The following is a 25,363-nucleotide window of genomic DNA, read 5'->3' on the forward strand; positions in this document are numbered from 1 at the left end:
CCATACGTTGGCCTGATTTAATGTTATATTTTATCTTCCTTTGAAACTTCTCAAATAATCCTCAGATTTCTGCCTAAATCAATTAGCAAGATGTTGTCATTCATTTGGAATAAAAGCTAATTCTTCCCAGGTCAGACTTCACTTTTTCCCCCTGGACCATGCTGAGATCTGACTCTAATTATAGACCTAAAAGACAAAAACTTCCACTGTCAGAGAGGCCTTGGGTTCAAAGCTTCACAAGGCAGAGAGGCCTTGGGTTCAAGATTTTCAGCTTTATTCCCATCTACCCAGATGTGATCATTCAAAATCCTAGAGGCCCACTCACCCAGTCAATGCGTTTTCTCATAAGAGTCAGGGAAGTCTATGAGTTCAATTTACATTGTAATTTTATAACCCACACAATTTAATTATGGTTCTTTTTTGTATGAGATTGGCCCTGTGACTAAAAAAATTACATTATTTTAGGGCTGCCATAGAGCCTCTCACTGCTCTGTTTTAGACTTGAATTTAGAAGTTTAAACCTGAGCTAGTGATTTCCTTTCTGTAATCTCTCCAGTTGGAAGATGTCATCCTACTCCAATGCTTTGTAGTCATAATTACTACTGCCATTAGGATAATCAAGGGACAGTGACAGTTTATGCCTATTGTCCTTTTCATTCTTGGTGTAAAAGCTATATGGTCCCACAAGGCACTTGATTCCATAGGCATTTCATCTCAATCAATCACTGGTGACAACTTAATCACTATGCCTCCAAATGCAATGGAGTACTAGCATAGCAATTCCCATTGAAAAGATCTCAGCCCAGCATTTAAAACCAAGCAATGATCAAATCAACCTCCAAATCCCCATCCCTGAGGGTCTATTTCCTGGTACCAAGCACTGTAACAGGCACAGCTCAGTTTGGAAAACAGAAACCACACAAGGTACTTCAACAGAGGAAATTTATACAGGGAATTGGGTGTTGGGGGGTGGAATAGCAAAGGAGGAACATTACTGTAATACAGGGCTAAAAATAGCAGGAAGCAGCACCACCTCTAAAGCTGGAGGATTCAAAGGAAAGGAGTTGAGATGATCAGAACCTAGAAGGTTAGGGGATGGGCCCTGCAGGGCTGGTGTTCAGACCTCTGAGGAGTGGTTGCTATTAGGCTTTCTGCAGTGTCTGCAGCTGTTCTTAAGAGTTTCCATATATTTTTGTTGATTTTGGCAGTTTTGAGGAGTATTGGTTGGGTATTTTGTAGGATGCCCTCTATTGGAATTAGTCTGATGTTTTCCTCATGATTAGACTGGGATTGTGGATGTTACAGAGGAGGAATACAGAGATAAAGTGTGATTTTAGTCATATCTTATCAAGAGTACACACTGTCAGCATGATGTTGGGCTTGATCCCCTGGCTGAAATAGTATTTGTCAAGTTTCTCCACTGTAAAGTTATTCTTTCCCTCCCATTTCCATACTGTATTCTCGGGAAGCAAAGTCACCGTAGATAGCTCACACTTCAGAAGTGTAGAGTTAATACTGTATCTTCTTGAGGGTAGAGTATCTGCAAAAAACTGTTTGGAATTATTCTGCAAGGAAGATTTGTGTCCCAAACCCTTTATTTATCCAATCATTTATATCAATACAAACTCATGGATATTTATCTTATACTTTGGGTTATAATCTAATACTATTTCATTGGTTTTGTTGCTCAAATTGTTCCAGCTTTGGCCTTTGGGAACAGTTTCAGTTGGTTCCTGTGTCTCTTTAACATACCCCCATCAATATATGGGTGTTTTGTTTGTTTCTTTTTGTTTTTTAGTACTTCCTTACTTTTGGAGATTACAAAATACTCCCAGCTCATCTCATATGTTTCCTGCCCCAGTCCTAGGATCAGCCATTTCTCCAAGATACATCAGAGTCTTTTAAAACACTGAGTTATTTAGGAATATTCAGGAGGGGGAAAAAAAAAAACAACCCTAAGTTCTGTAGCACTGCATTGACTTGGCATGGTGCTTTGGGTCCAGATAGCCGAGGAAAGGGTATTGGACTAGACACGTGGTATTTATAAAGCCTTTCAACCTAAGCACTCTGAAGACAGGGTAGAGGACATGGATATGCTAACAAAACCATCCAGAATGAGTGACTGAGTGGGAAGCACAGCTGAACTTGTTTGGAGACAAGAGTGTCTATGTTAGCAGAAGGGAAACTTTCATAGTCATCAATATCATACACTTTAACACAGCCACACAAAAGATTTCTACTTTAGATCTTTAATTTTTTTTCCCAAAGGAATCACATCCTAACAGGTTAAAGAAGTTATTCAAAATACAGCTATACACCTGTGCCCCATTACTTATAGCACACTAGGAATGATTACTTTTTACAAATCCTGTAATTAGCTAGTAACTAGCACAATTATATTGCATTATCTCTTTTGTGCTAAAAATATTAACTTGCTAATGATGAGCATTTACAAATGAACTACAAATTGTATAACCTATTTTAGTATTTTTTCGTTTTTCTTTTTGGAGATGGAGTTTCGCTGTTGTTGCCCAAGCTGGAGTGCAGTGGCACAATCTTGGCTCAGTGCAACCTCCGCCTCCCGGGTTCAAGCGATTCTTCTGTCTCTGCCTCCTGAGCAGCTGGGATTACAGGCGCGTGCCACCATGCCCCGCTAATTTTTTGTGTTTTTAGTAGAAATGGGGTTTCACCATGTTAGCCAGGCTGGTCTCGAACTCCTGACCTCAGGAGATCCGCCCGCCTCTGCCTCCCAAAGTTCTGGGATTACAGGCATGAGCCATCGCGCCCGGCCGGAATTTTTTCATTTTAAAATTACTAGGAGACTCAAAAAGCAGAGGTGACTCAGGCCTCTCTAGGCCACAGAGGCCCTTGGATATAGATTTCTCCTTTCTTCTGACAGAAGCGGTTAGCTTAAATCTGTACAGATGAGAACACAATTATTGTAACACAGGAAAACCCACGTTGGTTTTGTACATTCGTGTTTGCTCTGTAAAGGGCAGCGCTCGTGCATCTTCAGCTGTATCTTGAAAGCTTTCCTGTTTCCGAAGCTTGCTTGCATTAAACATGAGGCGCCGCTAAGTGCTGTTGCCACCAGGGACTGCAGGCCGCTCTGCAGCCCTGGATGGGCTCAGTTCCGAGGGAAGGAAGGCGGCCGGCGGAGGCAGTGCTGTGCTGCAGAAGGACTGCTGTGCTGCGGAAGGACTGCTGTGGATTCTGACTGCAGACGGGTCTGATTTGGATGTTTTTTATTACTTAAGCGATTGATCGTTTCTCCTTGCCATCCTGTGAGGAGTGAGGGCATGCCTTGGATCTGTGAGGGAGGAGAAAACCCCTTTTCTAAGAAAGGGGAAGTGAAGAAAGAAGAAGCAAGGATGGTGGAGAAGTAAGAAAGGAACATGGGACCGGGCGCAGTGGCTCATGCCTGTAATCCCAGCACTTTGGCAGGCTGGGGAAGGGTGGATCACCTGAGGTCAGGAGTTCAAGATCAGCCTAGCCAACATGGTGAAACCCTGTCTCTAAAAAAAAATACAAAAGATAGCTGGGCATGATGGCGGGTGCCTGTATTCCCAGCTACTCAGGAGGCTGAGACAGGAGGATGGTGTGAACCCAGGAGCGGAGGTTTCAGTGAGCCAAGATTGCGCCATTGCACTCAAGCCTGGCAATTGAGCGAGACTCTGTCGAAAGAAAAAAAGAAAGAAAGAGAGAGAAAGAAAGAAAGAGAGAGAAAGAAAGAAAGAAAGAGAAAGAAAGAAAGAGAAAAGAGAGAGAGAAAGAAATAGAAAGAAAAAGAACAGAAAGAAAGGAAAGAAGGTAGGAAGGTAAGAGAGAAAGAAAGAAAGAAAAAGAAAGAAAGAAAGAGAAAGAAAGAAAAGAAAGAGAGAGAAAGAAATAAAGAAAGAGAAAGAAAGAAAGAAAGAAAGAGAAAGAAAAAGAACAGAAAGAAAGGAAAGAAGGTAGGAAGGTAAGAGAGAAAGAAAGAAAGAAAAAGAAAGAGAAAGAAAGAAAAAGAAAGAAAAGCTCTAGAAGGAAGAAAGGAGCCTGAGGGGAAAGACTGAGGAGGAAGCAGAAGAGACCCGGGGCCCCCACCCTCCCGCTCACCAGCGCTTTGCCTTGGTGGCTCTGACTCCCCCCTGTCTGGTGGCTGGTCATGCCTCCTCTCCCCTCTCTACCTTCTCTTCCTTCCTACGTTCCCACCTGACTCCAACCCTTTCCTCAGGGAGAACAGAAGGTCCCCAAGGAGCGCTGTGGACCAGGCATGCAGGTCCACGTCATCTCTGGTCCTGCTCCGACCTTTGGCACTGAGCCTCCTAATGCAGGATTTGGCTTGTTCCTGTGACAGCTCCCCCTCATCGCCCGCAACAGGGTACTGCAGTCCAGACTCCATCACTGCTCAGCTCTGGTGCTTTAGGCACCCCACATCACCTCCCCGAGCCTCAGTTTCCTTATCTGTAAAATGGGGATGGTACCAACTACCACAGAGGGTTGTTGTAAGGACTGAACGAGGGCACAGGCCTCCTTCCACACCTGCTACCAAGTAGGTACTGGATGCACGGCAGGCCCTGCCACTGCTTCTCAGAACCCTCTCGGGTTCCTAGGCCTCTTGAACCACAATTGATAGGAATGGGACCTGCCGGGAGCTTTCTGGACAAGCTTCCCAGGGGGCTCAGATGGACTCTCAAGCATTATTTCCAGAGATGAGTCTCTTCTCACCTGCCAGCTCCTGGGGCCAGGGCTCAGCACGGCCCCCTGGTCCTGTCTACTCTGGTGAGACTTCTTCTCTGCTGCCCCTCCCCACAGTGCACCCCACTCGCCTCAGACTTCCGCCCCCGCACAAGGGAAGGGGCTAAACGGAATGTTCCAAATGTTTTGCTATGAATTTACACTCTCCCTCCCTCCTAAACCCTGTAACTATTGACATGTTTATTTATTTTTTCTGTTAAGTTACCGGAATAATTCTAGTTGTGCTCAGCCTTCCCAGTATTGAGCAATTCTGCAGCTTTTATCTGCAACTGTTACTCCTGACAGTTAAGAACACGTCTGAAGTTTTGTTCTGTTTATGCCTCCAAGCGTGTTGCCGACACATCCGGGCAAGGACAAACGTACAACGAACTCAAGGGAGCTTTCACAGGCTGGAACGGGCTCAGAGCACCCCTGTTCTTAGAGGAACAATCAATGGGAAGCAAAGGTGTACCCAGGCCTCTCAACAGTTCCCGAGTGCTGTCACTGGAGGGCGATGTCTCCAAACAGTCTCTTTCCCCACTGGGAACGGCGCCGCCCGAGGGTTCAGGTCAAGCACGAGTTTCCAAATTCATTCAATTAGTAGGGCAACTGGAACCCATGCAGCTCCTTCAGAAATCCCGCAAAATATGGATACGCTATTAAGCTGGAGACAACAAAATTACTCAATATAGAATTTTGCATTCAATCAATTATACTGTCAGTATAATTATATAATTATAATTATATATAAGTCTCAATCCTGGCTGAAGGATCGAATCACCTACAAAGGATTAAAAACCATAGCGGTTCGGGCCCCACAAAAGGCCAGTTAAATCTGGAATCTGGAAGATGGAGCAGGGGAATTTGTATATTTTTAAAGCTCCCCAGTGATTCTATTGTTCAGACTACAAAATTCTAATTGAGACATTGGTGGCAGGCACCAAGGGAAAATTTATGGGAGAAAATTTTAATTTTAGACAATTCTATCATGTTTTCTCCTGCAAACTGGTAGAACTGCTTAGCCTAGTTCTGCAAAGGATCAATGGTTGAGAATTTCTGCATGAAGTCATCTTGCGTCTGGAAGCCCATTTTCAAATAATAACACCCTTGGAGAGCTAGCAAGTTGTTAACACCCGTGTGTGAATTATTTTTATCAGATATCAAGGATAGCTAGGATTCTGAGAAAACTGAGACCAGAGAAGCAAAAATTTTTTAAAGGGAAGAGAGAAGAAAATCTACATTGGCTCCTTCCCCCTACTCCCACCTTCCCCCCAATATATAGACTTCTCTTTAACAGTCAGTATTAAAAACTAAAAGAAAATTATCTAGAATCCCTCTATTTCTATTCACATTTTTATGTATTTTCTTTCCAGTACTTCATGCATATATATTTTCTAATCTGTGAGGTCTACATAATTTTGTCTTATCCTTTTTACCTTAACATTATAAGATGACCATTTTCTTAGGGCTTAGAAAAAATTTTAGAAGCATTATGAATGGCTGCCTAGAATCACATTTTGTGAACATACTTCAAATCACAACTACAGTGGAACACGGAGGATCAGTTTCACGCCCACTGGCTAAGAACTCACTGAACTCCCTGGCCAAGCTTAAGTTGGGTGTCCTCACCTAGTCCAACCAACTGAGGCTGAGGATAAGAGGAGTGGGGGCAAAGTCACTCATAGAAGCTGCTGGAGCCCATTTTCATATCTTTGTGGATGGACAATGGGAATCAGGATAGATAAGTCCAGAAAAGAGAAGCCTTGGCTGGGCGCAGTGGCTCACTCCTGTAATCCCAGCACTTTGGGAGGCCGAGGTGGGTGGATCACCTGAGGTCAGGAGTTCAAGACCAGCCTGGCCAACATGGCGAAACCCCGTCTCTACTAAAAATACAAAAATTAGCCGGCCATAATGGCAGGTGCCTGTAATCCCAGCTACTTGGGAGGCTGAGGCAGACAGAAGTGCTTGAACCTGGGAGGCAGAGGTTGCAGTGAGCTGAGATTGTGCCACTGCACTCCAGCCTGGGTGACAGAGACTTCGCCTCAAAAAAAAAAAAAAAAAAAGAAAGAAAGAAAGAAAGAAAAGAAGCCTGGGCAGGTGGCTCATAGGTGTCCTCTACAATCTGTTCTTTCCTAACTCTTTCTTGGCTTTTGCATAGGACACACTATGTTACGAGCTATGTGGGGATCAGGGACAATACTCAAAGGAGCTAAGAATCCAAATGAGGAAACATAACATATATGAAATGAGAAGTTAAATAATAGTAATATTTGCTACATTTTTACAGAACAGCTATTATTATGTGCCAGGCTTATTATTTAATTTACTCTTCAGAATCATTCTATAAGCAAGCTACCAATATTCCATATTTATAGATAAGAAAACTGAGGCTGAGAGAAGTAAAGTCACATTTGTTAAAGGTAACCAGAATTTGAACTCAAGCAGCCAAAGCCCTCACTATTTCCACAGCACTGGGCAATCTCCCAAGACTGCATTGTGATCTGATCTTAATGGAGGAACAGACTCTCAGAAAATTGGGCATCATCTTACAGTGTCTCAAAACAAACAAACAAACAAAAATCCTGCAAATCCTTTAATCCCTATTTTACCTCCCTCCCTTGGGACATGGCTTAGGTAAGCTCCAAAATTAAGTTAGAGAAGGAAACAGATCTCATCTAAAAAATGCAATTATACCACAGCCAGATGAATAAATCCATATGAATACTGAAATACACACATACTCTGAGCACTAATACTTTTCAAGAAAGGTAATGATGCAGGAAAAAAATGTCTATGAAATAGAGCATTTTATAGAGTTCCCAAATTTCTGTCTGTTGAATCTCCCGGAAGTGGCATTCCCCTTTCTTGCAATAACAGACGATTGCTCAAATGCCTCATAAGAAGCGGTGGGCATCGTCAACTGGGGGGCTTTGGTTTTGCAGAGGGACGGGTTTACTTTTGTTTGTTTGTTTTGTTTTTCAGACAGGGTCTCGCTCTGTCACCCAGGCTGGAGTGCAGTGACCCCTGCTGATTGCCTGGCGTAATACAAGGCTGGACCTACAGGAAGACTGACTAGCTTCCTTCGAGCCAATATTCTTTTTTACTTTTTAGACACAGGAGGCTCTCGCGGTGTGCCCAGGCTGACTTGAGCTCCGAGGCTCAAGGGATTTTCCCACTTCAGCCTCCCAAATAGCTGGGACTGCAGGTGCACACCATCATGCCCAGCTATAAGCCAATATCTTTACATATGTATTCCACACTTATTTAGAGGGGTGACATCCGGCATTCAGTGGGGAAGACAATAGTGGTGCTCTAAGCCTTTCCTCTGTTGCCTGTAACCAATTAGCTCTTGCTCCAAACTCACACACTTCACTATACGATCACACAGTGCATGATTCAATTTACATGAAATGCCCAGAACAGACAAATCTATACAGACAGGAAGTAAACTTGGGCTTGCCTAAGGCTGGGGGTTGGAGGCGGGAGGATTGGGGTGATGGCTAAGGAGAGCAGTGCTTCTTTTGGCGATAATGAAAATGTTCTGAAATTATAGAGATGGAAGCACAGCTCCGTGAATATATTAAAAGCCATTGAACCATACACTTTAAATGGGTGAATTGTATAGTATGTGAATTACATCTTAATAAAACTGTTAAAAACCCTTCAGGCTGGGTGCAGGGGCTCATGCCTGTAATCCCAGCACTTTGGGAGGCCAAGGCAGGCAGATCGCATGAGGCCAGGAGTTGGAGACCAGCCTGGCCAATATGGTGAAACCCTGTCTCTAGTAAGATACAAAAAAATAGCCAGGTGTGATGGTGCACGCCTGTAATCCCAGCTACTCTGGTGGCTGAGGCAGGAGAATCACTTGAACCTGGCAGATGGAGGTTGCAGTGAGCCGAGATCACGCCACTGCACTCCAGCCTGGGCAACAGAGTGAGACTCCATGTCAACACACACACACACACACACACACACACACAGATTCCTGGGCCCCTTCCTAGGAATTCAATGTGTTGCATGGGTGTAGATATCTGTATTTTAAGGAAGCACTCCGAGTGATTCTGATGCTGTAGGGCATGAGACAGGCATTTGGAAACCACCATACAAGGCTTCGCTTCAGAGATAAGACAAAAGCTTCCTTTGTTTCCACATTTCCCTATCAGTCCAACTTCCTTGTAGAAGCAGCAACAGGGACCTTCCCTCCTTACAAGGCCATCTCAATTATTATATGGAAATTCCATTTTACAGAGGCCAATGGTAACTTTCCAGTATAAACATAACAGAAAGCCTTGGAGACAGTGTCAAACTGCTGACCTGCTGGGCCTTTCTTATTCGCTGGATGAATCTGGGACTTCAAACAATCACTGTGCCTGAACTAACGAGGGGGCTGTAAACATGCCTGCAAGTTCTCCCAGCTCCCCTTTTGGGGCCTGAAAATTTATCTCTTCGCAGTGAGCGGAAATATTTTCCTTAGCTGGGTCCCCTGTTTTATGCCTTTGATTTACAGAAGCTTCTCAACAAATAAATACAAGTTGACTGTTAGGTCACAGCCTTTTGGAGAGCTTTCCAAAAGCCTTCAAGAGTAAGGGAGATAAACTGGAACAATATTTGGAAAATAATCCCAGTTGTTTTATCACTTTCCTGGGGGCTGAGACGCTGATTGGATCTTGGCCCCTCACCGGCACCCTATGAGGCAGACAGGGCTTCATTAGCTGCTTTCTGCATATAGAGAGCGGAGACTCAGAGAGGTTAAGAGGGTTGCCCAGGATTCCCCAGCTGGCCAGTAGGAAACTTGTCTGGGACCTTCATTCCAGATTTCAAGGACCTGGGCTTGCTGTGTTGCCTAACAGCCATAAATATTTTAGAGAAGCCTGCTGGGATGTAAGGAACTTCAGAGATTTTAGCCCCCACCATTTAGCCACAGAGCCTGGGTTTATGGAGCCACTAATTCATTCTGACAGTGCCTGATCACCCGCAGAGCCTCAGCAGGGAGATCTACACATTTCAAGGATAGCTAGCTCAGGAGTTCTCCCCAATGCCCATTCTAGGCCATCTCAGAGCTCTGCTAGACTCGCTCTCCCTACCCTCAATTTCTCCTGGAAAAAGCAAACATGACCAGGTTTATTTGTAAGCCCAGGTGGTTCATCCATTTCCAAGACAGTCAAGACCTGGCCATTAAATCATACTTGTGTTTGTGCGTGCACGTGCGCGTGTGTATGTGTGTCTGTGTGCGTGTCTGTATGTGTATGTGGGCTTTGTTTGTTTGTAATGACTTCGGTTTAAGAAGGCTGCTTTTGGATCTTCCTGTCTGGCCTGAGTGTGGGACACAAGCTAGCGCTTGCTGACCTGAATCAGCACTGTGCCGCTGTGAGCATAAGTCTGCTTACTCACGGACAGAAGAGAAGTTCATGGGCTTTTTCGGGAGCAGCCTCAGCTGGGTGGTAACTGTTGCTCACCTCCAGAAGCTGGGGGAGCTTCAGCAGCCACCTAAGGCAGGCACCTCTCAGCGAAGAATGAGGCAGTCTGTCCCCAGACGTTTCCACTGTGTCTCTAGCCACAGGAGTCTCTTGTGGCTGGAGAGCCCATGTGTGCTACGCTCTGTGCCTCTGTGATTTTCTCCTACCCTCATCACAGTCTACATGGTATATATCCCAATGCTCACCTATGGATGAGAAAACAGGCTCAGAGAGAGGAGAGAGGCACTAGAGAAATCCCTGCTAGTGCAGTGAGGACTACAAAGGACATTCCAAGAAGTGCTAGGCAGTGTTTGAAAGGCAGATTTTGTTTGGGGGGGTCAGAAAATGCCTTGTGAGGCTGGGCAAGGTGGCTCGCACCTGTCATCGCAATGTGGGATATGATGAGGTTTCTCTTTAAGCATTATTCCCAACACCAACACTTTGGGAGGCCAAGGCAGGCAAATCACTTGAGGTCAGGAGTTTGAGACCAGCCTGGCCACCATGGTGAAACCCCGTCTCTACTAAAAATACAAAAAAATTAGCCAGGCATGGTGGTATGCACCTGTAGTCCAAGCTACTTGGGAGGCTGAGGCAGGAGAATTGCTTGAACCCAGAAGGCAGAAGTTGCAGTGAGCCAAGATCGTGCCACTGCACTCCATTCTGGGTGACAGAGCAAGACTCTGTCTCAAAAAAAAAAAAAAAGAAAGAAAAGAAAACACCTCATGAGCAGCAGTTCCTTTTTCAGCTTGATCCAGAAGGATGACTAAGGGTTCATGAAGGTGCAAGGCAATGCCAGGCGGGAAAGAGCAGCCAGGAGATGGGCGGAGACTGGCGAAAGGCTTGTGACAGGGTAGGATGCTGGGCACTTAAAGAGCACCAGCATGATATGGGTAGAAGGAGAAATTACCAGGAAAGGAGGACAGAAGCCAGACTAGGGGAGGCCTTAGAGGTTAAAGATTTTGGATCATTTTGTGACATTACAGGGTTAGTTTTTCAGATGAAACATGGAATAGCAGGACCTTATATCACACTCTTCCTATGAGGAAATATTCCAAGTTTCACACGCCTGCTTTCCAAGGGACTTTTGGATCACAGCAGCTGATTCAGGGGATGAAGAGTGGCTTTGGACATCAGTTCTCCTCTTCTCATATCCACGTGTCTTCTCTTCCTATCCACATTGTAAATTCTTTGAGCTCAAAGACACCGTGCTTTGTAGAACATCCTCCCCTCACAACCCACTCCCCAACAGCCTTAATTATGTACTATTAAAGTAAACAATTTTTGATAAGGATGACATTAAAAAGATAAGGCATCTAATGGTTCTATACTGGATGAAAATAAATGCAATATTCTATCCAAGCTTAACATGATATACAAGAGATTTATTTTTTTGTTTGTTTGTTTGTTTTTCTGAGACAAAGTCTCACTCTGTCACCCAGGCTAGAGTGCAATGGCACGATCTCAGCTCACTGCAACCTCCGCCTCCCAGGTTCAAACGATTCTCTTGTCTCAGCCTCCCAAGTAGCTGGGACTACAGGCATGCACCACCCCTGGCTAATTTTTTGTGTTTTTAGTAGAGACAGGGTTTCTTCATGTTGGTCAGGCTGGTCTCGAACTCCCGACCTCAGGTGATCCACCCGCCTTGGCCTCCCAAAGTGCGGAGATTACGGGTATGAGCCACCATGCCCGGCCGATATACAAGAGATTTTCTTAAACTGCAGGGTCAAAACATGCTTCCCTTATAAAAGGTGTGACCAGATAGTAAAGAGATTGGTTTCCATCCTCCAAAAACAAATATCCATCTGATTACAGTGACATCATGTATAGAGTAATACATCTATTTCACTATGTAATATGCCAAGAATGAATTTACGACCTGCCCTATCACTGAAATTGCGGTGGGGGTTCAATTGGGATACACTAGGTTGTAAGAGTTAGAAACTCAACTTGAATTAGTTTAATAAAAAAGTGAATTTCTGGGAAGGATTCTGGTATAATGAGGAGAATGAGGGAGATGGGATGTGTATAAAGGCAGCCCCAACATGGTTAGAATGAGCCCTTCCCAGGAGAAAGATCTCTGAACAAAAAATCAATGTTAACTATTAGGCATCTGCTATTTAGACTTTGAGACTTGTTTCTATAACGTTATTAGAAGAACACAGTGTGGTAAAAATGAAAGTCACTTTTTGGGGTCAGACAAAACTGAGTTTAAACTGCTGATCTGCCACGTACTAGTGCTAAGAACTTAGCAAATCACTTAAATTCTCTGAACCTCTTTCTTCTCAGCTAGGAAAATTACCATTTAAGGATTTAATGAGAGCATGTATAAAAGAAAATAGCTCTGTGCCAGACACTCACTAAGAGCTTAATAAACGTTGCCCCCATCCTTCCCTTCATTTGTCAGGGAATGAAGATTAACTACCTGTATTAAATGAGCCAATATGGCCGGGCGCGGTGGCTCACGCCTGTAATCCCAGCACTTTGGGAGGCTGAGGCAGGTGGATCACCTGAGGTCAGGAGTTCGAGACCAGCCTGACCAACATGGTAAAACCCAGTCTCTACTAAAAATACAAAAAATTAGCTAGGTGTGGTGGCATGTGCCTATTGTCCCAGGTACTTGGGAGGCTGAGGCAGGAGAATCGCTTGAACCTAGGAGGCGGAGGTTGCAGTGAGCTGAGATAGTGCCACTGCATTCCAGCCTGGGCGACAGAGTGAGACTCCATCAAAAAAAAAAAAAAAGCCAATATATGTAGAGTACTAGGACAGTATCTGATATTCAGGGTAAGAATGCAATAAACATTAGCTGCCATTATCATCATTTTGATAATATTTGCATTTCCCTATAAGAATATCCCTAAATGAATCCAATGGCTTCTCATACTGCCCACCTTCCTGGGGGAGAAAAATATTTTTAAAAGGTGACCCGGCCTGGCGAGGTGGCTCATGCCTATAATCCCAGCACTTTGGGAGGTCGCAGCAGGTGGATCACCTGAGGTCAGGAGTTTGAGACCAGCCTGACCAACATGGTGAAATCCCGTCTCTACTAAAAATACAAAAATTAGCTGGGCGTGGTAGCAAGCATCTGTAATCCTAGCTACCCAGGAGGCTGAGGCAGGAGAATCGTTTGAAGCAGGGAGGCGTAGGTTACAGTGAGCAGGGATCATGCCATTGCACTCCAGCCTGCACAACAAGAGTGAAACTCCATCTGAGAAAAAAAAAAAAAAGAAAAAAAAAAGCAGATGACCCTTTTTCTCTATCCTGTTTTCATTTTAAGGCTGGGAATTGTTTTTGCTCTGCAGTACCCAAGAGGCTCTGGACACTTAGTCAATATTAATTAATGATGTTTTTGGTGGTGTGCCAGGTTTTTGACACTAAACATTTTTATGCCAACTTCGTTGAATTAAGGTAGAATTAAATAGCTGTGCTGCAATCCTGTCTCAGCTGTAATCACCATTTGCTTTGCTCATCTTTCCCATGCTATTCACCCCACCTAATCAGTCCAGTTTTATTGCATTTACGTAGATTGTATTGATGCATCTGCTGAAGCTCCTGCAGGAATAATCATCTCTCATTTTTCTCTTCTGTGGCTGTGGGTATTGGAAGACCCTGTCTCTCCCTCAGCTAGGACCTGAGTAGAACCTGTGGTGAAGAGAGTGTAGAGAAAGCAATAGGCTTTGCAACCATGGTGAGTTAGGAGTGTCAGGGCTTTGTTTACCCTGAGAGTTTACCTAGGTTGAAGGCTGTCAAAGAAAACTTTCCTTTAACGTAAAAGGGTGACATGGACATGGTTCCCTTAAAGCGGCTTCTCAGGTGGAAGATCACAACCTCTTGATGGCAGTGGCATGGAATAAAGCGTCTTAGTGTCTCCTCTAGTGCCTAATTTAGTCCCTTGATCAAATAACAACTACAGTAACAGGAGGAGGAGGAGGAATTAACACTTATGAAGAGCTAGGCATTATTCTAAGCACATCACATATTATAGATTATTTATGTTCAGAACAACTCTATGAGATGGTTACTATTATTATCCCCATTTTACAGATGAGGAAACTAAAACACCAAGAATTAAGTAACTCGCCAAAGGCCACCCAATTATTATGTGGGGGACGTGGCTCTTGAACAACAGGAGCACACTTTGGAGTCCATGATTGTGGATGTTGGGTAACTATTTATTTGGCTATTTTTTTTAATTTTTTTTTTATCTGTAGAGTGCCTTTTAAAGTTTTCTCTGAAAGAAAAAAAAACAGAAACAGTCTATAGTGGGCCAAATATGGCCTTAGATGTTAACGCGTGCTTTATTTTATTTAATTGTCAGATAATTCTGCAAAGTAGATGCTATTTTGCTATTTTTGTGTTTTGGTTTTTGGGTTTTTTTGAGACAGAGTCTCGCTTTGTCACCCAGGCTGGAGTGCAGTGGTGTGATATCGGCCCACTGCAATCTTCACCTCCCGTGTTCAAGCAATTCTCCTGCCTCAGCCTCCCAAGTAGTTGGGATTACAGGTGCCCGCCACCACACCTGGCTAATTTTTGTATTTTTAGTAGAGACGGGGTTTTGCCATGTTGACCAGGCTGGTCTTGAACTCCTGACCTCAGGTGATCTGCCCACCTCAGCCTCCCAAAGTACTGTGAGCCACTGCACCTGGCCTTTTTTTGTTTTGTTTTGTTGGTTTATTTTATCCTCCTGCCTCAGCCTCCCAAGTAGCTGGGATTACACTTGCAAGCCACTCTGCCTGGCTCTATTTTCTCTGTTTTTACAGAAGAAGGCTCAGGATCAGAGAAGTAAAGAAGTTTCATGAGATTACACACCTAGTAATGGGGAAAGGTGAGACTTGAAGCATCATGTCTGTCCAACTCAAAGGCCATGATTCCATGCATTTCCTACCACTGCCAGCTTTGCACCAGGGATGGAAAACTTTGAGTCATTTTCTGCAAAGTTTTCACAACACTTTCCTTTGGGGTATATTCACCAGGCTAAGCAGATACTATTATCCAGGTGCACATGGCTAAAATTACTGTACAGGGAGAGTACTGTCCAAAAGACCCAGAAACCTCTTTTCTAACAGTAGACAAGCAGCTCTATTCCAATATGGAGCACAATTTTAGCCATAAGTAACAATACCAATCATTACAACACCTTATATTTTTACATTATAATTTCATTAACAATAAGCTCCTTACATTTTTATGATACTATGTGCCTGACACTCTTCCAACCATTTCATGTATATTCAATCACTGAATTCTTACAAAAACCCTATGAGGGAGGCCTAGTTTTCTTCCGTTTTTAGATTGGGAAACTAACGCACAGACAAACAATTTGCCAAAGGTCACCCAGCTAGGAAGTGGTAGAAGCAGACCTGACCCTAGGCAGTGTGGCTGTGAAGTCTGTGCACTCAGCCACGGGCTATGTTGCCGTTCATTAGTTAATTATTTGGGAAATGTTAGTTCCGTTCCTCTCTCCATAGATTAGGCAATGGGGATTAATGTGAGAATTAACGATGTGTACTGCATCACCTGATATGTGTACTGAATGATTTAAAGATTTCTTTGTAGGGTGTTTACATATACAAGGCATTGTACCAGGCTGTGAGAATGCCACACCTGCCTTCAAGGAGCTGAAATCAGCAAACCAGCAAATACAACACCATGTGATAAAGAATTAATATGGGAAATGGTGGCTATTCTCCTTTCACCGTCTATTCTCTGTATCTTTCTGTCAAACTCAAGGCTCCCAGAGAATGGCCTGGGCTTTCTTGCCCTCTGACTTCTGGTTAGGTGCAGCCTATGGACAGATATTGGAAGGAGAGGAAAGGAGAGGGACATCAGAGTATTCATTCCCCAGCCCCATCTCAGCCTTCTTCAGTCTAGCAGTGCCGATGATCTTCTCTGGCTATGACTTCTGCTGGACGACTCTGCTTCTATGGCCCCAGCTCCCACGAGGGTGTCAGTAACACCACTCTCTCCATTTGCTCCTTCAGGCTTAGGGGTATGAATGGCTTCTCAAGTTTTCTGGTTCCCAGATGCCTCAGCATTCCTTGTTGGTTTCTATAACTCTGAGTGTACCGTTTGCTTCCTGTGGGGCCCCTGACTGTTATGAAGGGTAAGCAGAGGAGATAATAAGAGGAGCATTCAGGAAAGATCCCTAATCTAGACTTGGAGGGAGACGGGAGGCTGCTCAAAAGAAGTGAAATCTGTAACTCCTAAAGGATGATCAGGAATTATCCAGTTTGGGGAAGTGGAGGTAGGAAGAATATGCTAAAAAGAGAGAATGACAAGTGGAAAGATACGAAAGCAAGAGCATAAAATACTCCCAAGAACTGCAAAGTGTCCGTAAGATACCGTTCAAGGTAGAGAGCGGTGAAGAAGCTTAAGTAAGCACCTCCAGATCATGAAGGTGGAACTTTTCTTTTTTTCTTTTTTCTTTTTCTTTTTTGAGACAGGTTCTTGCTCTGTCGCCCAGGCTGGAGTGCAATGGTGCGATCTTAGCTCACTGCAAACTCCGCCTCCCAGATTTAAGCGATTCTCAAGCCTCAGTCGCCCAAGTAGCTGGGATTACAATCACCCGCCACCATGCCCGGCTAATTTTTGTATTTTTAGTAGAGATGGGGTTTCACTATGTTGGCCAGGCTGATCTTGAACCCCTGAGCTCAAGTGATCTGCCCACCTCGGCTTCTCAAAGTGCTGGGATTAAAGGTGTGAGCCACCGCGCCCTGCCAAAGGTGGAACTTTTGAGGTTTGTCTGAAGTTTGCTGATGAAGTTTTGCTCTATGACTTGTCATGTAATCTTCCCTTTGATTTCCTTATGAAGCATTCAGTGAAATCTATATTGCTTACCAAAAGTTCTGAAGTTGGGTTTCGGAGTAGCCAAGATGAAGTGCTGAGGCTGGTCTGAAGGAGCTCTCGGAGGTAATTTAGCAATAGGTTTGAGATTGCGCTGTCAGATTTTGAAGTTTATGAGGCCACCCGCATCATTGCTAATGTGTGCTGTGTGGGTGGAGAATGGATGAGGCCAAAAAAATTTAGGACAAATAGTTTGGAGATGGAGAATCAGCAAAGAAAAGGTTGAGAGGAGAAGGCAGCTAGAACTCAAACATTATAAAAGAAGGCTTGTTCTCCGCCTCTGCATAATCCTTAGTAAAATACGCCTGGGTTACAGCAAATGCTATTTAAAAAATAACACTGAGTTCTGACTAGGAGACATGAGACAGGCACTCTCTCTCCCTGCTCCTTCATTCTTGCCTTTTTTTGTGGTTCTAGATATTAAGCACCACCCTTGTTGGCACCTGTGTTGCCCCTGCAGATGCCTTGCTCTATCAGTTATCTCCATAGCCCCTTGTTGGTCAACACCCTCTTCCACACTGCTAGTCATTACACTCATTATGGCCTCCTGGCTTCTGGTGGTTAAGCCACCTTACCTCTATTACTTCAGGGCTCCATCATCCCTATCCACATTAACAAGCCCAACTCAGACCATCTTCTCAATGGCTGACCCTGACCTGCAGTGGAGCACCACCACTGAATGGATTAGCAGTGCTGATGCCCCCTCACCAGCACATTCCAGTGCCCTGGCTGAAGGGCGTGTCCTTTGGGCCCTCCAAGGGTTGCTCCTCTGGTGGATCTTCTAGCTTGACATGAAATAGCCATCCAAGCATCCTACTCGCCTTAGCCTCTGTCCCTTAGCGTTCCTCCCTCAAGCATCTTCAGGGCAACTCGGGCATGTCCCTTTGCCTCAGTGTTGGCCATTGCTTTGCCAGGTTTCCCGGAGCCAACCCCACAGTGACCTTGCCCCATCCCTGGAGGCTGTCTGTACTTTATCTCAGTCTCTTGATTGTCTATATATTTTCTTTTCTTTTTTTTTGAGACAGAGTTTCACTCTGTTGCCCAGGCTGGCGTGCAGTGGCATGATCTCAACTCACTGCAACCTCTGCCTCCCAGGTTCAAGAAATTCTTGGGCCTCAGCCTCCCAAATAGCTGGGATTACAGGCGCCCACCACAACGCCTGGCTAATTTTTGTATTTTTAGTAGAGACGAGGTTTCGCTATGTTGGCCAGGCTGGTCTTGAACTCCTGACCTCAAGTGATCCACCCACCTTGGCCTCCCAAAGTGCTGGGACTACAGGCATGAGGCACCATGCCCAGCCTAACCACCTGTATTTTTGAAATTACTTGTGGAGTTTGATACTGGGAATACCTTTGATTGTGTGAGTCTAACTTGAGAACCCAGTGATTTATGATTATATATATGTGTGTGTGTGTGTATACACACACATATATTTGCATATATTATATATACAATATATACTATATATGACATATATAGTATATAAAATATACGCTATATATGACATATATAGTATATTAAATATACGCTATATATGACATATATAGTATATAAAATATACGCTATGACATATATAGTTTATAAAATATACGCTATATATGACATATATACCGTATATGACATATACGGTATATAAAATATATACCGTATATGACATATAGTATATAAAATATATACCGTATATGACATATATAGTATATAAAATATATACTGTATATGACATACATATAGTATATAAAATATATACTGTATATGACATATATTATATATGTTTCAGGAAAATATGAACACTGACTAGATATTTAATAATATTAAATAATTATTGTAGAGGTTTTTGGTGTGATAATAATCTTGCTGTTAGGTTTTTAAAATATATGCATATACAGGCTGGACATGGTGGTTCATGCCTGTAATCCCAGCACTTTGGGGAGCCAAGATGGGAGGATTGCTTGAGGCCAGCTGGAGACCAGCCTGGCCAACATACTGAGACCCCGTCTCTACAAAAAAATTTTTTTAACTAGCTGGGCATGGTGGTGCCACTTGAAGGCCCCAGCTACTGGGGAGGCTGAGGTGGGAAGATTGCTTGAGTCCAGGAGTTCAAGGCTGTAGTGAGCTATGATCACATTACTGCACTCTAGCATGGGCAACAACGTGAGACCCTGTCTAAACAACCATAACAACAACAACAACAAATATATATATATATATATATATGCATATAGAAGTGTTTACTGATTAGAGTATTTGATGTCTGAGACTTGCTTCAAAATAATTCAGTGTGAGAGAAAGAATGGGGGGCATAGAGACATAGATGGGCCATGATAATTATTGAAACTGGGTAATGTGTCCATGGAGGTTTATTATAGTATCTTCCATAGTATTATATACAGTATATAAAACCTTTAAAAGTTTGAAATTTTCCATAATACAGAGATTTTTAAAACACTAAATCAAATTTAAAGCAAATAATAAGATACCTGAAATGCCACAAGGGTGAATATATATATATATGTGTGTGTGTGTGTGTGTGTGTGTGTGTGTGTGTGCACGCGTATGTATGTGTGTGTATATATGTGTGTGTGTGTGTATATACATATTTTTTTTTTTGAGGTGGAGGCTTGATCTGTCGCCCAGGTTGGAGTGCAGTGGCGTGATCTCAGCTCACTGTAACCTCCGCCTCCCGGGTTCAAGCGATTCTCCTGCCTCAGCCTCCCGAGTAGCTGGGATCACAGGCATGCACCACCATGCCGGGCCAATTTTATATATTTAGTAGAGATGCGGTTTCTCCATGTTGTTCAGGCTGGTCTCAAACTCCTGACCTCAGGTGATCCGCCCACCTCAGCCTTCCAAAGTGGTAGAATTACAGGCATGAGCTACCATACCCAGCCAAGGGTGAATATATTTATATGGAGTATTCTAACAACCATATATGAAAATATGAACTTGACTACAGAAAAATAACATAGTTCATAAATAAGACATTGGTAGAAGGAGAAACAATATTAACCACAAAACTGGAAAGCAGTTTTCAACCCTCCACTCAGTAAAATACAAATTAATATAGAAATATTATATTAACTCTTTCTATAAAATAGGCAAAGAACAGAAAAAATATTGAGGCAAAGTATTTCATAGGGTGAAGAAAATTCAACAGTTTAAATTTTTATCTTTCTGCAAACCATTTTTCCAACATACTTATCAAAAAATCTTAAAACTCTGCCCTACTACTTGACCCAAAGTCCAGCTTCTGTGAAATTATTCTTAGACAATAAACATAGATATGTGTGAACATTTAGGTATACATATGTGCCATAAGTCATTGTTTAATAATAATGAAGACCGGGTGCGGTGGCTCACGCCTGTAATCCCAGTGTTCGAGGTGGGTGGATCACCTGAGGTCAGGAGTTGGAGAGCAGCCTGGCCAACATGGTGATACCCCATCTCTACTAAAACCACAAAAATTAGCTGGGCGAGGTGGCGGGCACCTGCAGTACCAGCTACTTGGGAGGCTGAGGCAGGAGAATCGCCTGAACCCGGGAGGAGGAGGTTGCAGTGAGTGGAGACGGTGCCACTGCACTCCAGCCTGGGTGACAGAGCGAGATTCTGTCTCAAAATAATAATAATAATAATGACAAAAATTTTAAATAATATAAGAATACTAATTAGGATTGAACAAAATAAGGATGAAGGGTGACCTGCATATCCAACAACAGAAAATCGTTAAAGGAATTGTGGTATTATATACAGATAGAAACACACATTTTATCCAGACATTACATGAGACTATGTAATGACAAGGAAAGATATCCAGGAAAATTAGATAAAGAAAGAAAACTGGAAAGGAGGACTACCAGAATTTTTCATTTGTGTTTCTTTTGTAGCTCTATAGAGGAACAACAACAAAAATGGAATAGAAGAATAAGCTCTAAACATTAAACAGGGATAATATGGTGTGGAGAGGGGTAGCTTATGGATGTTTTATTTTTCTTCTTTTTATATATCTATATTTCCTAAATGTTCTGTAACAGACTTGTATTACTTTAATGACATTAAACAAAACCATCTGTTGATTCACCAATCCACTTCGAGGAATCTTTCCTAACAAAATAACCAGGAATATGATCAAAGATTATTAGCATAGTCTCTGGAGCATTATTTATAATAGGGGAAATATTGTGAGTAATCCAATTATCCCATAATAAGAGAATGATTAGATAAACTATTGTATTAAGAATTTTTTAAAATCGCATATTTCTGAGAAAAGGTTGATTGTTCTATAACCACGGTAACAAGTACCATTATAACCAGGTTTTAAACTCTATCAATCAATGCAACTTGCTTCAGTGAACGTGCTTTGACAAATCAACCAATCAGTGATAGTCTCTTACATATGCAAGTCAGCCAATCGGGAACAGAGTTAGTCTAATAGATGAGCTTCTGAATGCCAACCAATCAGCAACAGTCTCACTGGAGTAACCACATTTCTAGAGTTGACGTCAATCTACTTATATCCCTGAAAATCTTCCAATCCCTGAACTCTATGCTTCCCCAAAATCCAGTATAAAATCATTATTCTGCTAAGCCAGATTCTACCTGACCAGCATGGCTCTTCCTTACCATAATAAGCAATAAATTCAGCTTTGTGTTATGTGGTATTCTGTGTGTGTGTGTGTCCGTCCCTGTATGTGTGTGGAGTGTGTGTGTGTGTATGTATATACACACTGAGGGAGCACACATACACATATATACGAACATAGAATTTCATACATTCATTGAAAATTTTGTTTTCAAAGACCACATAATGACAAGAAAAATATATTCAAAATATATTATGTGCAAAAGCATTGAATACAAAACTGTGTATTGTACAGTCCTAATGAGAGAGAGAGACAGGAGAAAATACACCAAAATTTTAAAAAATATATCTGGGTTGTGAGACTATGGGTGATTTTCATCTTATTTTTTCCTTATATTTTCAAAAACCTCCATAGTGACCATTTATCACTTTTATAATGAGGGGGAAGACTTTCTTAAAAAGTCTTGGTTTAGCATTATAGCCCTAAACCAGTTAATTTTAAATGTCATCTGAAAAGTTTAGAACCTCCTTATGAGTTCTTCTTTTATGATTCTTTCATTGATAACAGGCTATGACATTAAGCCAAAGGCCTCCATTCCAAATATTTATTGTGTGCTTGTGTACCAGACACCAAATAAGGCACACAGACAGCTGCTAAGATGATGTAGGATGAAGCTGGGCATGGTGGCTCACGCCTGTAATCCCAGCACTTTGGGAGGCTGAGGCAGGTGGATTGCTTGAGCCCAGGAGTTCAAGACCAGCCTGGGCAACACAGCAAAACCCCATCTCTACAAAAAAAAAAAAAAAAAAAAAATTAGCCAGGCGTGGTAGCACATGCCTTGTAGTTCCAGCTACTTGGGAGGCTGAGGTGGGAGAATCACCTGAGTCCGGGGACGTCAAGGCTGCAGTGAGCGGTGATTGTGCCACTGCACTGCAGCCTGGGTGACAGAGTGAGACCCTGTCTCAAATCATCCCTCAGATGATGATGTTTAATGATGTAACACCTTCCTGAAAACTATATGGAAAAGGACATTTTCATTAATTGGACTGAGCATAGGAGACTGTGTTTTCCTATCAAGTATGTTCAAAGCTTATTATTAGTGGGGACTATCAATGCAGCAAGTAAAGGCAAGAAATGCAGTCTAGGTGTTTGTTAGGCAGGACTATGAGTAATGGTCTATAAAATACAACAAAAAAACTGGGAACGACCTAGAGTGTGTAGTAGAAAGTGAAAAACAAATGTTAATTTCTTCTACTATCTTTTTCTTTATTTTGGAGGAGAGAGCTTTGGCTTCTTCTTTTCTTAATAAAAATAGTGTCAAGGTCCTAATTGCATTTAATTAAGCCATATTTCTAGCACTGAGAATGCAGAAGGATACACTGTAGCCTGCTGTTCTCCATTTCCTAATGCATGCAAGCAGCTCTAAATGAGTAAGAAATGATGATTGAATATTGTGAACAGGCACAATAGTTAATCTCATGTGAATAGACAGTAGGAGTGGAATGTGTTTGTCTTGGGTTTGTTAGAAAGATTTTCATGATCAAACACTGAAAGAGGATTTTCCCCATTTTCTTCCTGCTGACAATGCATCACTGATAGTTTGACTTAATGAGGTTCTTAGATTTAATAAAATAGAAAAAGGCAGTGAGCCATTTCCCAAAATGACTTGAAAGAAATATTTGGCAGAAATAATTGAGATTCAGAGAGTACTGGTCCATAGAACCCTACCAATTCCTACCACCCTGGACTATGCCCGCTTGCTCTACATTTTCTGCTGATTTTAGAAATCACCCCATCGCTGCCTGGGTGGCAGTAACTTCCCTTAATAGGGCCATTTATCATAAACTATGAGTTGCTAAGGAATTAATCAAAATTTTCCATGGGTAAGCAGTAACTTGAGAGTCTGTACAATCCTTAATAACGATACCTTAGCTTTGTATAATCTGCTGGAGTTTACGTAGTGCCTTCATGGACCTTTAACCATTCAGATCTCATTCTAATCCTGTCAAGAGGGGACCAGTATCCTGACTTTACAGTTGAAAAAAATTGAGGCTCCGGAATCCTTAAATGAGTTGCCTAAGGTTTTGCAGTGAGTAAATACATGGTAGCATTCAGACCTAGGTGTTATATCCATGTCTGGTGCTTGATCCAATCTAGCTGAACAACTATCCCTAAACGAGCAAAAAAGATTCTGATTTGAGGTCTGAGGACCAGGGATGAAGTCCTGGCCCTTGCCTCTTGGTAGCACATGATGTAAGGCATATCAGTTAGCCTCTCTGAATCATAGTTTTCTTATTTGAAAAACAGAGACAACTGTGCTGCTATCAATTTATTCTCATTACTCAGCCCCAAATCCACCCTTTATTGCCTGCTTTGTGAAACTGCGGCTTCCTGAGAGATGCAACTGCCACCTGGCCATTTGGGGTGACTTGTGCCACTGAGCCAACCAGCAGAAAAAGGTGTTACTCCATGGGCTAGAATGATTGATCCTAGTTACCAAGGGGGAAATTGAGCTGCTACTACACAATGGGGAAGAGGAACCATGTCTGGAACACAGAGGATTATCTAGAGACCCTCTTAGTACTTCTATGCACAATAGTAAAAGGTAATAGAAAACTATAGAAACAAGCAAACAAAAAAAAAAGCAACATGACTGAGGACTTAGGCCCTTTGGGAATGAAGGTTTGGGTCATTTCACCCGATAAAGAACCTTGACCATCTGAGGTTCTGCCTCAGGGTAAAATGAATATAGGATGGATTCTGGGAGGAGGAAATCATAGATTATTCCATGGCATCTTACAGAAATCAGGACTGTGGTCATGTGAAAGGAAAATATCTTAGGCCCCCAAAATCACTAAGGAAAACTCAAGCTGGAAACTGCTTAGGGCCCACAGGCCTCCCATTCTATTCAAAGTCATCCCTCTGCTCACTGAGATAGATGCATATCTGATTGCCTCCTTTGGAAAGGCTCATCAGAAACTCAAAAGAATGCAACCGTTTGTGTTTCACCTATCTGTGACCTGGAAGCCCCTCCCCGCTTCCTGCCTTTGCTTCAAGTTGTCCCACCTTTCCAGACCGAACCAATGTACTTCTTACACATATTGATTGATGTCTCCTGTCTCCCTAAAATGTATAAAACCAAGCTGTGCCCTGACCACCTAGGGCACAGGTCATCAGGACTTCCTGAGGCTGTGTGCTCAACCTTGGCAAAATAAACTCTCTAAATTAACTGAGACCTGTCCCAGATTTTCTGGGTTCACAGTAGCTTTGCAGATTTTCTCCTTACTTGTTATATGTGTATGTAAAAAGTAAAGTAAAGGTTCCTCTTCAAAGAGACTCTCCTCCCTGACTAATTAGGAATATAGTAACTTCTCTTAGAAGCAAAATTTATTTAAAGACCTGTGCTAACATTCTTAAATATCTGCTAGCCGTAATAAAAAAAAATCAATGTACTTTATGTTCTTAGCTCCCACAATTTAGCCTTAATATTTGCCCTGGCATGCTTATACTGGTCCAAGCAAGCATTAGGTCATAGCCTGTTCCTCTTCCATATTTGGCGGTGCTTTTACCTTTCTCAGCATTCCCCAAGTTACTTCCTCCTTCCTTTGTTCTTCTCTGCCTTTGCCTCTTTTAGAAAGTTCTAAGTTGCTAGCCAATTGGGACAAATAGAGAATGTGAGGTCTCGTTCCAGCCAATGGAAACCGGACATAGCAGTAGGGTGGATGTGTCAGGTTATAAATGACCCTTTATTCGGTGTACTTTCGTGGCAAA

The 25,363-nt window shown here is 42.7% G+C and overlaps 1 protein-coding gene across 1 annotated transcript in view, besides 1 other annotated feature; it reads left to right on the top strand.

The window, feature by feature from the left end:
- FHIP2A (FHF complex subunit HOOK interacting protein 2A) overlaps positions 1–25,363 on the top strand; it is a 78,053-nt gene that overhangs the window by 50,233 nt on the left and 2,457 nt on the right. The gene's annotated exons all lie outside the window — the stretch shown is intronic.
- Positions 8,772–9,400: an enhancer, noted in NCBI's record as "OCT4-NANOG-H3K27ac hESC enhancer chr10:116640543-116641171 (GRCh37/hg19 assembly coordinates)". NCBI's record gives its function as "activates a minimal SCP1, AML or CMV promoter by ChIP-STARR-seq in naive H9 embryonic stem cells {active_cell/tissue: H9 hESC(naive)}" and the evidence as "EXISTENCE:reporter gene assay evidence [ECO:0000049][PMID:30033119]".

This window comes from Homo sapiens, chromosome 10 (assembly GCF_000001405.40).
Source record: "Homo sapiens chromosome 10, GRCh38.p14 Primary Assembly".
Classification (NCBI taxonomy): Eukaryota; Metazoa; Chordata; class Mammalia; order Primates; family Hominidae; genus Homo; species Homo sapiens.